A 13,114-nucleotide genomic window follows, 5' to 3' on the forward strand; every position below is an offset into this window, starting at 1 on the left:
TTATTTACAAATAATCCAGGTTTTTGAGCATACCTGGAAAATGCATTTTTGGTTATGGGTTTGCTGCCTCAAAATGTTTTCCCTTTTCTCTCTTCGTTTATTGATACATAATTGTACGTATTTATGGGGTACATGTGGTATTTTGTTACATGTATAGAATGTCTATATAAGAATGTATGGGAAATTCAAAGGAATGTTCATCACTAAAGTAACATTTATATTTGTACTGGTAGTCTAAGAATTTTTATATTCTTAATATATTCATCATAATACCAAACAGGAAATTTTGTTTCTATACATGTGCTTTTCAGAGTAGGGTTCAAAAATAAAATAATTTTACAATCCAGCTTTAAACAGCTGTTTCCAAGGTATACTTCAATATGCATTTAGCATCACTAAGTAAAAACAAAAGAGAAAAGGGACATAGAGGGATAAATTCTAATGTTCCATAGCAGAGTAGGGTGACTATAATTAACAAGAAGGTATTGTATATTTCAAAATAGCTAGAAGAGAGAACTTAAATCTTCCGAATTGATGAAAATGATTTTGGATTTTTAAAAATTCTACTTTGGAGGAAATTTATGTATTTTTCATAGATAAAGTAGAATTTCTTTGTGTCTATGTTTATAACCATTTTCATTTATCTTTGAGGGCTTTTGCTTTTGAGGGACACTTAATATTTTATATTTATTTGAACATTCTGATAATAGGCTAATATTGAAGAGTTTAACAAGAATTTTTGTAAAATTTATCCAGGTCTCATTTCCTTACAGACCTGATTAAAGCCTTAGGAATTAAGTTTAGGAAGGTGCATTCCCTTGGCTCTATACTAAAGATAGTGACTTTTAAATGGGCTTGGTTTGAAGTATTGATTTTTATGGTGGTATCTACTTTGTGTGTTTTCTTTCTTACTATAAGTTTAAGCCCAGTTAGGTATTTGGAGTTTGAATACAGTAGCTGAAGTTTATTTGCAGAGATAGACTGGCATATTAGTTCAGATAAAACAATTTATTATATGGCTCATGGTTCATTTTTGGATTGTCAAGCTTTTTCCAAGGAAATGCACCTTCAGTTTTTGTAACCATTTTCTTATCTTCCTCTAATTTAGACTAACTTACCCTAGCTATGAGCATGCACATGCACAAATGTAAACCATCTTAATTACCAATTTAACTAATCAATGGCTTTCCCTTTTTTTTTTTTTTTCTTTTTTTTTGAGACGGACTCTTGCTCTGTCACCCAGGCTGGAGTGCAGTGGTGCGCTCACTGCAACCTCCGCCTCCTGGGTTCAAGCGATTCTCCTGCCTCAGTCTCCTGAGTAGCTGGGATTACAGGCGTGCGCCACCACACCCAGCTAATTTTTGTATTTTTAGTAGAGATGGAGTTTCACCATGTTGGTCAGGCTGGCCTCGAACTCCTGACCTCGTGATCTGCCCGCCTTGGCCTCTGAAAGTGCTGGGATTACAGGCGTGAGCCACCGGTGCCCGATCCGGCTTTCCCTTTGTTACATAACATATTCAAGCTTCTAAACATTACCTTTAGACTTTCCAAATTCTGGCCTCCTTACATCCATTTACCTTTCCAATATATCTCCTGTTACTTTTTGTAGTAGATTTTCCCATTTAATAATACAACACTGCTTTTAATCTCCCTGCCATGCAGTTTCACACCCACAGGGGTTTACTTATATTGGTTATTTTCATGTAATGCCTCACCTTTGTTCACATGATTCAAGAATTAAGTATCAGTTTTTCCAGACGTCACCCTATGGTAGATTCAGTGTTCCTTTCCCTTTCTTTCATAGCCTTTACATACTTCTAGTTTAGTGTTTACCATAATACATTGTAGTTGTGTTTATTTGTCCTTGTCTTCCTATAGACTTGTGCAGTCCAATGCCGTAGGAACTAGTCACAAGTAGCTATTTAAATTTAAACTCATTTAAATTAAATAAATTTAAACTCATTTAAATTAAATAAATTTTAAAGTTCATTGGTCACATTAACCACATTTCAAATGCTCAGTGGCTACATGCTGCTAATGGCTACTGTATTGAACAGTGTAGATACAGAACATTTCTATCATTGCAGAAAATCGTATTAGATAATACTGCTGTATCTAATAAGCTTCTTGAAAACTGGGACCGTATCTGTTTATTTTGGTACTGCCAATACCTAGCTTGGTGCTTGGTATGTAGATAGGTGTTCAATGCATGTTGTTCCAATAAAATTAAATAAAACAGTGAAAGAAGGGAAAGGAAGAAATGGAAAGTATACTGGGTAACATACCAGTGTAAGTGGTATGGGAAGGTAGAGGTATTTGCAAGATATTTAGATGTTACTTTGAATGGAACTTTTCAGTATGAGGTCATTGGTCACATCATATGCTAGCTAATTCAATGCATTATCTACAAACTGGGTCTAATGCATCCTATTCCGTACGTTTCTGAAGAATGATTCATAATCTAAAACATTGTATTTTTGTGGAATATAGTATGTCAGAGAACTGTAAAAATGATTGTATTGCCATTTTCTTCCCCAACATTAAATATCTTACTTCCTTTTAATTAACTTTAAAAATCACAGATGCCTATTACCAAAACGTTGAAGAAAAATACGGAATATAAAATACAGTGTGAAAGTTTGCCTTGACAACTTTACTCTTAACAGTTTGGTGTGTACCTCTTCAGATCTTTACTAGTGACTATATAGTGTAGATGTGATTCATTGTCTTTGTCTCTAACAAATGTGTATTTTTCTGCATTGTACTTAATGGAGCTATTTCCGTTTCCCATTCTTTCCTCTGCCCTCTTCCCCAGAAGTAATCAATAGTTTTAATTTTGTGTTTCATTCTTTATATTTTTATAACTTATTACATATATGTTTTTCAGTATATTGAGGTACATCTTTTTTATGTATTGTGTGGCAATTTTTTGGAAAGTGGTGCCCCATATTTTATTATTTTGAGTAGGAAAAATCATAATTTCCAGCCCACTTAAGACCCTAAACAATTTCCTAGATATAGCTAAAGTACTCAACACCTACTTGATAATTCACCAAGGATTTCTGCATAATACAGAGTATTTAAAATACAAACTACTTAATATAAACAGAAACAAATGAATCACTAAGTATATTTCCATTTAGTATGTACTGTATTCAGATAATACTTTTTCTTTTATACTGCAATAAAATTGTAATTGTAAATAAACAGTTAAGTGTATTTCCTTTCTTTTATTGTTAAGTGGCACATTATTGAACATGTTTCTCTCTCTGAAGTCAGGATGCATCTTACAGCTGATGGTGACTTCAAGTCATAGTTGTGACAAACAGTACCAGCACCAAAGCATCTTAGAATCTATGATATATAGTATGTTAAAGATATATAATGAATATAAAGAACACTTAATAAAATAAAATCATAGCTGAGTGTAGTGCTGTGCACCTGTAGTCCTAGCTACTGGAGAGGCTGAGGCGGGAGATTAGCTTGAGCCCCAGAGTTTGAGGCTGCAGTGAGCTATCATCACACCACTGCACTCCAGCCTGTGTGACAGAGCAAGACCCTCAGTCAGTCGATTGATAGATAGATAGATAGATAGATAGATAGATAGATAGATAGAATTTTATTAAATTAATACTTAACAATTGAAAAGTTGTCAGATCTGGTGCCCAGAGAAGAAAAATTGAGTTTGTAGTTATTATTGCTGCTTGGTGTTAGGTGAAGATGAATAAGAGCGACCTAATGAAAGAATGAGTTTAAAAAAAAAAAAAAAAAAAAGGAAAAAAGCCTGAATCCAATGAATTGGTTCAGTTTCCTCTTCTTTGCTCTTGAAAGCCTTGCAACCAGATGGCTGTGACATGTTATCACTAGCCAGAGATAAAGTAAAGGGGTAGAATGACTTTTTATGTGCCCTTTACTTGCATTTATACAGCTGCTTAAGATGAAGTTGCTCTTATAATTACATTTTTGATTGTGAAAGCTCTGTTCATGTCATGATCACATGATCAGCAACGGAAGTCACTTTGACTTCATGATGTAAATTTTTTTTTTTTTTTTTTTTTTTGAGATGGAGTTTCGCTCTTGTTGCCCAGGCTGGAGTGCAGTGGCGCGATCGCTGGAGTGCTCACCACAACCTCTGTCTCCTGGGTTGAAGCGATTCTCCTGCCTCAGCCTCCTGAGTAGCTGGGATTACAGGCATGTGCCACCATGCCCAGCTAATTGTGTATTTGTTTTTTGGTAGAGACAGAGTTTCTCCATGTTGGTCAGGCTGGTCTCGAACTCCTGACCTGAGGTGATCCATCTGCCTCGACCTCCCAATGTGCTGGGATTATAGGTGTGATCCACTATGCCCAGCTTTTTTTTTTTTCTTTTTGAGACAGGGTCTCACTCTGTCACCCAGGCTGGAGTGCAGTGGCACCATCTCCGCTCACTGCAACCTCTGCCACCTGGGTTCAAGCAATTTTCGTGCCTCAGCCTCCCAAGTAGTTAGAACTACCTACACGCACCACCACATCCGACTAATTTTTGTATTTTTCGGTAGATACAGGATTTTACCATGTTGGCCACGCTAGTCTCAAACTCCTGACCTCAGGTGATCTCCCTGCCTTGGCCTCCCCAAAGTGTTGGAATTACAGGCATGAGCCACTGTGCCGACCTAATCTAAATTTTTAAAAATAAAATTTGACCTTTTTTTTTTTTTTTTTTTGGCATTCATGGCTTCTCTTTGTCCTCTTTCTCAGGCCAACCAGTAATGTCAAATCAAGTTAAATGAATTCCCAAGTTCCTCATTGGTTGGCTCATTGCCGTGTGATGCTAAGTGTTAACCTTTCTTTGAATGCATTATACGTTCTGATACTTTTTTTATTATCATCTGAAATCATCAAATAAGGTGACATTTGTTTTCCAAAAAATAAGTTTCACCAAGACACCTGGTTTATAGCACCCTTAGTGAATTGGTAATTTTTTCATAGTGCCCTTGGGCCAAAAGAAACTCTGCTAAATAAGTAATTAGGTCCAAATCACTTATATTCATATGATTATCTGATAGATATTGCTGTATTTCCTAAGAAGATATAAAATATCTAGTAGCACCCCTGTGTGTTCGCTCTGGTGTTCCTTTTGGCAACGTATGACGTAGACTTTATATATGAAATATGAAGTGTTCTCTTTCAGAAAAATAGTTTACATTTAAGTGGTTTGCCTTAATCATGAATGTGAAATGTGTACTCATTAAATCAAAAGTTAAGACATTAATGCGGATATTTCTGTGAATCAGAGAAAATACAGAAGCAAGCAAAGTTATGTTTTGATTTTGTTTTTGTTTTTGTTTTTTTTTTTTAGACGAACTCTTGCTCTGTTGCCCAGGCTGGAGTGCAGTGGCCTGATCTCGGCTCACCGCAAGCTCTGCCTCCCAGGTTTATGCCATTCTCCTGCCTCAGCCTCCTGAGTAGCTGGGACTAAGGTGCCCACCACGACGCCTGGCTAATTTTTTGTATTTTTTTTTTTTTAGTAAAGACGGGGTTTCACCGTGTTAGCCAGGATGGTCTCGATCTCCTGACTTCATGATCCGCCTGCCTTGGCCTCCCAAAGTGCTTGGATTACAGGCGTGAGCCACCGCACCTGGCCGCAAAGTTATCTTTTAAGAGGTTATCTTAGGTCTTGCGTGGAGTCTAGGATGATAGCACTGATGGTGGCAGGTTAGTTTTTTGTTTTTTTTTTTAAATCTTTCTGAATTTCCACATAAAAATAGAACCAGCTAGACAGCAAAACTAAAACTCGTGAAACATAACAGAACTTCTTGACAAAGTGTCCCCATGAACCCCAATATAAGCAGATGAGAACTAAGAAAAAGACCTACAGTTTTCAGTTTTTATGCATAAAATGAGACCCATTGGGATGTCTGATGGACCTGAGAGTGGAGGCACCCAATGTAGTCAACAGGTATTCACTGGTAAGTACAATTAGCCAGTTTGAAATTGGGAGAGATTTTGTCAACCTCATAAGGTGAGTGAGGAACCCATGGTAAGGCTAAAGTGATTGGAGCAGCTTAGCTCTCTGACCTCTTGAGAGTGACCCACCAGTGTGTCCTTCTAGGATTCCACTGAGGAGAGGAATTAAAATTGAGCAGGAAAGGGACAACAGTGACATTGGAAAGAGAAGGTCCAGATAAAAATGGGAGAGGGGAGCAGAACCAGGAAATCTCAGTAAATAAGCGATCATATTTTCAAACACTATGTGAAAATAACAGAAGAGAGAACTTTATGACGTTAGAGAAGTTTATCTGAACAAAGCAGTATTCTAAAACTTCAGGAAGATTACATTCCTAAGAGGTCTTCTAGGAATGTATTTGGGAGTGTTTATACCAATTTTGAGCCCCATCAGTAGTCCTCATATTCATCTGACATTTGATAATTTCAGAATTAAAATTTTTTTCCATCTATTGAGGTTGTGTTTGAGATATATTGAGATATTCTTCATAGTCTTTTAAAAAAGATTTTTTGTTTTGTCTTCCATATTTAATCTACCTGAAATTGATTTTTGTACATGGTGTTAGAAGTACAGTTTCCTTTCCCCTGCACCTAAATTATCATATTAGCATTGTGTACCAATTTATTCTAACCTCCTTAACTATTCAGTAGTGCTAGCTCTATTGTAAATCAAGTTTCTCTTTATATGCATGGATTTCTTATGTCTCTGTTACCTTGATGTGTTTGTCTGTGCCTATACCAATATCATGTTTTCTTAAATACTAAAGCTTTGTGTTAAATCTTCATGTCTGTCTGTCAACCTTTTTCTTCATAAGAGTCTTGACTTGGCCTTTTGCTCTGTGACAAATTTAGAATATTCATGAGAATGCTCCCCTCCAACACAAAAAGAAGTATTGAGTTTGTAAGTGGAATTGCATTGACTTTAGTTTTCTTTGTGGAAGAATCGATAAGTTTATGTATTCTTTCATGTTTTCTCTCAAAGTTTTATATTTTTTTCATAAGGGACTTAGAAATCTTTAGTCCAATTTATGACTACTTTTGTTGCTTTTCTTGGTTGTAAATTAAAAAAAAATTTTTAGTTATAGGTGTTATTGAAATATAGTTGACTTTTAAAATTGATTTTTGTATCTCAATGTTGCTAAACTTTTTAATTTTTATAATTTATCTGTAGGCTTTTTGGGGGGTTCATATAAGTAAACACATCCTTTGGAAATGACAGTTTTGAAATTGTCACCAGTTTTGAAGTTGTCATCATTAAATAATATTTGATACAGGATTTTTTTTATAGATATACTTTATCAGGGTAAAGAAATTGTTCATAATGCTACCTTATATATTTTTTTCCTCTGTAGCATCTTTTTCTTCTTAAGGTTGTTTACTATGTGCGTTTTCCCCTTATTTGGTCAGACTTACTAGTGATTCGTCAGTTTTACTAGGGGTCAAATTTTAGCCTTTATTTATTTCTAAAATTTAATTTTGTTTTCTATTCATCAGTGTTCTTTAATGTTTTCCTTTCACTTCTTAGGGTTTGTTATACTGTTCTTTAATCTTACGTTTTTAATTTTCCAGGTAATTATCAGGTTTGTCTAGTTATCTTTTTGTTGCTGATTTCTCATATAATTCCATTTTGGTTCAAGAATGTGGTCTGTATGATACAATTATTTGTTTATGTGTTTGAACAAAATGTATATTAACCAAATTGGCAGGTGTATTGCTTTGTTTCTCTCCATTAGATCAAGTGTTAATCTTATTATGTACATCTTATGTATCCATATAATCATTTATCCCTTTGTTTAGATCTAGATTCCAATATATCTTATTTCTTTAATTATTTTATAAATTTTTGTGTTTAGCCTGTGATAAATCCAACAATTGGAAGTTGTCACATATTATGCTAATGTTTTTGTTTCTGCTGGTTCTCATTGTGCCTTGTTTCCTTGTGTGTATATTAAGCTATCATTTCATGTTTCTTAGAACTCTGGGAATTCTTTGAGCACTGGGTAGAAGGGGACATTTCTCCCAAGGGGATTTTCACTTGTTTTTGCTAAGACCCTAAGGCACTACCAATCCAGAACCAATTCCAAATAAAATATTAGCTTGAGGTTGCAGTCCACATAGGCAATGTGAATTTATGCTTTTTTGTGGCTATAAATTTTCAGAGCATTCCTTCACCACTTTTTGCTTACCATAAATAACAGGAACATCAAGATTTTTTGCTGTCCTCTTTACTAAGGGGTTATTACAATTATGGTGTAGCTCTTTTTTTTTTTTTTTTTTTTTTTTGAAACGGAGTTTCGCTCTTGTTGCCTAGGCTGGAGTGCAATGGTACGATCTTGGCTCACTGCAACCTCTGCCTGCCTGGTTCAAGCAATTCTCCTGCCTCAGCCTCCCAAGTAGCTGGGATTACAGGCACCTGCCACCATGTTCAGCTAATTTTTTTTGTATTTTTAGTATGGATGAGGTTTCACCACATTGGCCAGGCTGGTCTCCAACTCCTGACCTCAGGTGATCCACCTACCTCGGCCTGGGATTACAGTGCTGGGATTACAGGCATGAGCCACCGCTCTCAGCCAGGGTGTAACATTTTAAGGTACATGATTTATAAAAAGCTTTTTTAAATAGCTTCTCCTTTAGGGATATAAGCTTGTGGCTTCTCTGGAATTCTAGCTTTTACTCTCATTTAAGGGTGTTGAATTTCCCTTCCTCCCTTGCAGGTTCAGCTGTACACTTAAAAATGTAACCTCTGTTAGTGTTTATTTTGTTCATTGCTGTATCCTCACCTGAGAATAATGTCTGGCATGTAGTAAGTATTGTTGATTGGATAAAGTTAGTATTTTATGGAGTGATTTTAGTTGTTATTTAGTGGGGCATTCTGGGTTCTTAGTTGTACTACCAAACAACATCTATTTTAATTATTCTTTAGATCTCAGCTGAAATCTCACTTCCTAAGGGAAACATTTTCTGCTTAGACTTCTGTTACATTTTCTCATTGTTCATGGTAATTTTAGGGATGGTGGTAATGTTATTTCTGCGTTTTATTATCATTCATAATGGAATAGGTTTGTTGACTCTTTTTCTCTTTTTCTTCCCATCTTTTCCTGTTTTTACTTCTTATCCCTTTCTTCTCTCCTTTCGCTTTTTTTTTATTCCCTCCCTTGCCCTGCTTTATTTTCTTGCTCACTTCTCTTCCTTTTTTCTTTCTTCCCTTCTTTCTTCATAATATTTTTCTTCTACCTAAAGGATTAAAAAATTTTTTTTCTAAGGCACTTCTAGTGGTGATGAATTATTTTAGGTTTTGTTTGAAAAGTCTTTATTTCACCTTTATTTGTAAATATACTTTCACTGAGTCTGAAGTTCAAAATTGACGGGTTTTTTGCTTTTAGAATTTTTTAAATGATGATTCGCTGTCTTCTTATTTCCTATGAAAAGTCTGCTGTCATTCTTATGTTTAGTCTTGTGTGTATAATATACCTTTTTCTCTCTGGCTAATATTAAGATTTTTAAATTTGTCACTTATTTTACACAGCTTGATTAAGGTCTATGTCGGTATAATTTTTTTTATGAGTCTTACACGTGGGATTTGTTGAGCTTCTTGAATTTGTATGTTTATACAAATTTAGGAATTTTTTTCATCCATTATTTATTTGAATATATTCTCTGTCTTCACTGTCCTTTGAGGACTCCAATTACGCATATACCTAATTGCCTGGAGTTGTCCCATAGCTTACTGATGCTTTGTTCATTTTTTTCTTTCTTTTTTTCTCACCATGCTTTAGTTAGGATAGTTTTTATTACTGTTTTTTTAAGTTTGCTAATCTTTTCTTCAGCATGCCAATTATTCTGCCTTCTTTTACATACAAAATGTAATTATAACTCCTTGCATATCATTGTCTACTAATTCTGTTACTCATGTTTACTAATAGAAACTATGTCTGTTTCTATTGAGTGTTGGTTTTTTTTTCCTCCTCATTATCTGTTCTCTTTTAGGGCTTCTTTGCATGGCTGGTGATTTTTGCTTGGATGCCAGTCTTTGGAAACTTTATCTTGTTGAGTGCTATATAATGTTTGTATTTCTGTTAATATTCTTTAGATTTCTTGTGGTTGCAGTTAAGTTACTTATAATAGAAGCCATTTGATCTTTGAGACATCCTTTTCTTTTTTTTCTTTTTTTTAGGTCTTGTTTAACAGAACCAGAGTAATCTTTAGGGTTAATTTTCTTCCAACTACTTAAGCAATTCTTTTCTGAATTATGTAAATTATGTTTTTCTACTCTGGCTCATAGGAAAATAAATGATTCCCAGCCCTGTCTGGGCCCTGGGGATTGTTTTCTCTGTTTCTTTCAGGTGGCCTTTTTTTTTTGTTTTTTTTAGCTTCTGGTAGTTTCCTTCCATGCATGTGCTAATCAGTACTTAGCTGAAATCTCAGAGGAACCCTCTGCATATTTTCAGAGATCTTTCTCTGTGCCAGTCATTCTTGTTTAGTATCCCAGCCTATTCTGGCTGCCTTTAATTGCCCTCTTCTCCACTTCCTCAATTCACAAAGATTGCTGGGCTCCACCAATCTGGAATCCCTCTCCCTCACTGCACACTGAAAATTCTTTCAGTCTTATAAGCAAGGGTAGTTGTTGAGCCCTCAATGATTCTTTCTCTGGTCTCAAGGATTATTGTCCTGCACGGCCTGATATCCTGTGTCTGAAATCAATTGTTTAATATATTTTGTCCATTTTCAAGTTGTTTTAGGTGGGCTGCTGCTACAACTAATACTACCACACTACTCTCTCGGTTGGAAGTGAAAGTCTTAATGTTTCATTTTTTAAAATTATTTTTTCTTATTAAAATTTTTTTTATAGAGACAGGGTCTCACTATGTTGCCCAGGCTTGTCAAGTGATCCTCCCACCTCAGCCTCTCAAGATGCTGGGATTACAGGTGTGAGCCACTGCACCCTTATTTCATTTTTAAAAACTATATTTTGGTTGAGAAGATGAATGAAAACCATCCCTGATAAAGAGAATAAGCTTTTGTGTCAATATTCAGATAAGGCTTGGATGCTTTCTCTTGTATAAAATACTATACAGTGTGCAATATACACAAATTTCAGACCATTTCTCAGCATTTAAGGTCATTTAGAATGAAAAATAAAACAGTACAGGTCAGTAAATGAATTCCAGTTCTTATGTAGAATTGTCATAGTCCTGATTCAATTTAACTTAAAAATTGGACTGTTTCCTCTGAATTTCCTGATTCCCTTAAGATTCCCTAGAATCCAGTAGGCCCATAGATACAGTGGTCATTCATTTTCTCAGCTGTCAGGTAAAAATTTTACCAATAAGCATTTCTTACTTTAAAAAAATCTGTGTTGTATAGCATAAAATAGTATATTATCTCTGTATTGTTTTATCTGGATCAGTAAATTAAAGACATTATAATAAATGTGCTAATGAAAATATAAGATGTTTTCAAGGAAAAAGGAAAGACCCTTATTAGGGCCAAAAATGCTACCGGCACATGAAATTTTACACCTATTCTTTTCTACCAAGGCACTTTTCTAAAGGCACTGTGATAAAACTAAAACAAATGTGCTTGGTAGAGTGAAGAGCCTTTAGTTTGAGCCACTAGTCTTCACATTCTACCTGAATCACTTGGGTCCATTTATGTAAAGTCTTTGACACCGTGTTCATAGTTAACAGTGAAACCTTTAAAAGATTTGGTTTGCTTTGTTAAAGCATTTCCATTAAATAGAGAAGGAAAGTAGAAAATTACCATTAAAACACCATGGTAGGCCAGGCGTGGTGGCTCACGCCTCTAATCCCAGCACTTTGGGAGGCTGAGGCGGGCAGATCACCAGGTCAGGAGATCGAGACCAGCCTGGCTAACACGGTGAAACCCCATCTCTACTAAAAATACAAAAAATTAGCCAGGCGTGGTGGCGGGCACCTGTAGTCCCAGCTACTTGGGAGGCTGAGGCAGGAGAATGGCGTGAACCAGGGAGGCGGAGTTTGCAGTGAGCCGAGATCGTGCCACTGCACTCCAGTCTGGGCGACAGAGTGAGACTCCGTCTCAAAAAAACAAAACAAAACAACACCACGGTAATAGATACTGCGAGCAATATTCACGGATGAATGCTATAAGGAGTGGACAGAAATGTAAGGGCAGACAGGTATTTGCATGTTCTCACAGTACTCCAAAACATTTCTTATTTAAAAAGAGAAAACTAGTAGTTTACAGTGGAGAAAACTTCCAGATGCACCACTTCACCTGTAATAAGACATATTAACATCATATGCACTCATATATTGGAATATATGCATCACATATGATGCACTTGAGAAGACTACATCAGCTCTGTGGTGATGTGGCTTTCAGAATGCATAACTTCAGTCTAATGAGAAAACATCTGACAAACCCCAACTGTGGGACATTCTGCAGTGTGTATGATATAACATCAATATTATGAAAGAAGAAAGACTAGGATAAGTCTCGGATTGGAGAAGACTAAGGAAATGTAAAACTAAATGTAAGGGGTGGGGGACAAAGTGTTGTAATTTTAAATACACAAGGAATTCCTTACTGAGATGACTTCACACCTGAAGTAGGTGAAGTAGGAAGCCATCTGGATGTCTAGAGGAAGAGCATTCCTGGAGGATAACAAAGGCAAGGGCTTGGAGACAGGAGTATGTCCGATGTGTTTGAGGAATAGCAAGGAGGCCAGTATGGCAGGAGCACATGAAGAGAAGGGGAGAATGCTAACAGGGGAGATTAGAGATAACAAAGAGTAAGGTCATGAAGGCCTTGGAGGCCTTGGTAATGGTGCAGGAGTCCATTGTAAATGTGTTTCACCTCTATTCCGTTTGATTTCTGATGTTCTTTTATTCTGAGCCTGAAGGGGATAAAGTGTATAAGTATAAAATGTAATACCTAACATCTAGCACTGTGTGTAGTAGATGCTAACTCAGTGATTATTGAATTAGTGTACATGGTGAGATGTTTAGAAACATTTTAAAGATCATGTCTTCCCTTGCTAAAGGAATACTTTTCATTTTTAATTACTTCCTGTAACATAAATTAGGATTCTGATACCTCTGTATATTTTTAAAATGTAAAGGTTTTAAAATAATTTGTCACCTTCAATA

At 35.8% G+C, this 13,114-nt stretch overlaps 1 protein-coding gene across 24 annotated transcripts in view; it reads left to right on the plus strand.

Moving 5' to 3' along the window:
* Window positions 1–13,114, plus strand: part of CNOT2 (CCR4-NOT transcription complex subunit 2) — a 111,976-nt gene that overhangs the window by 36,876 nt on the left and 61,986 nt on the right. For 5 of the 24 annotated variants that reach the window (XM_047428882.1, XM_017019348.2, XM_024448986.2 and 2 more), the window contains exon 3: window positions 5,507–5,693. The exons of the other annotated variants lie outside the window; for them this stretch is intronic. The gene's annotated coding sequence lies outside the window, so the exon portion shown is untranslated. The remainder of the gene's footprint in view (window positions 1–5,506; window positions 5,694–13,114) is intronic. 24 annotated transcript variants of the gene reach the window in all.

The sequence above is a fragment of the Homo sapiens genome, chromosome 12 (genome assembly GCF_000001405.40).
Source record: "Homo sapiens chromosome 12, GRCh38.p14 Primary Assembly".
Taxonomy (NCBI): domain Eukaryota; kingdom Metazoa; phylum Chordata; class Mammalia; order Primates; family Hominidae; genus Homo; species Homo sapiens.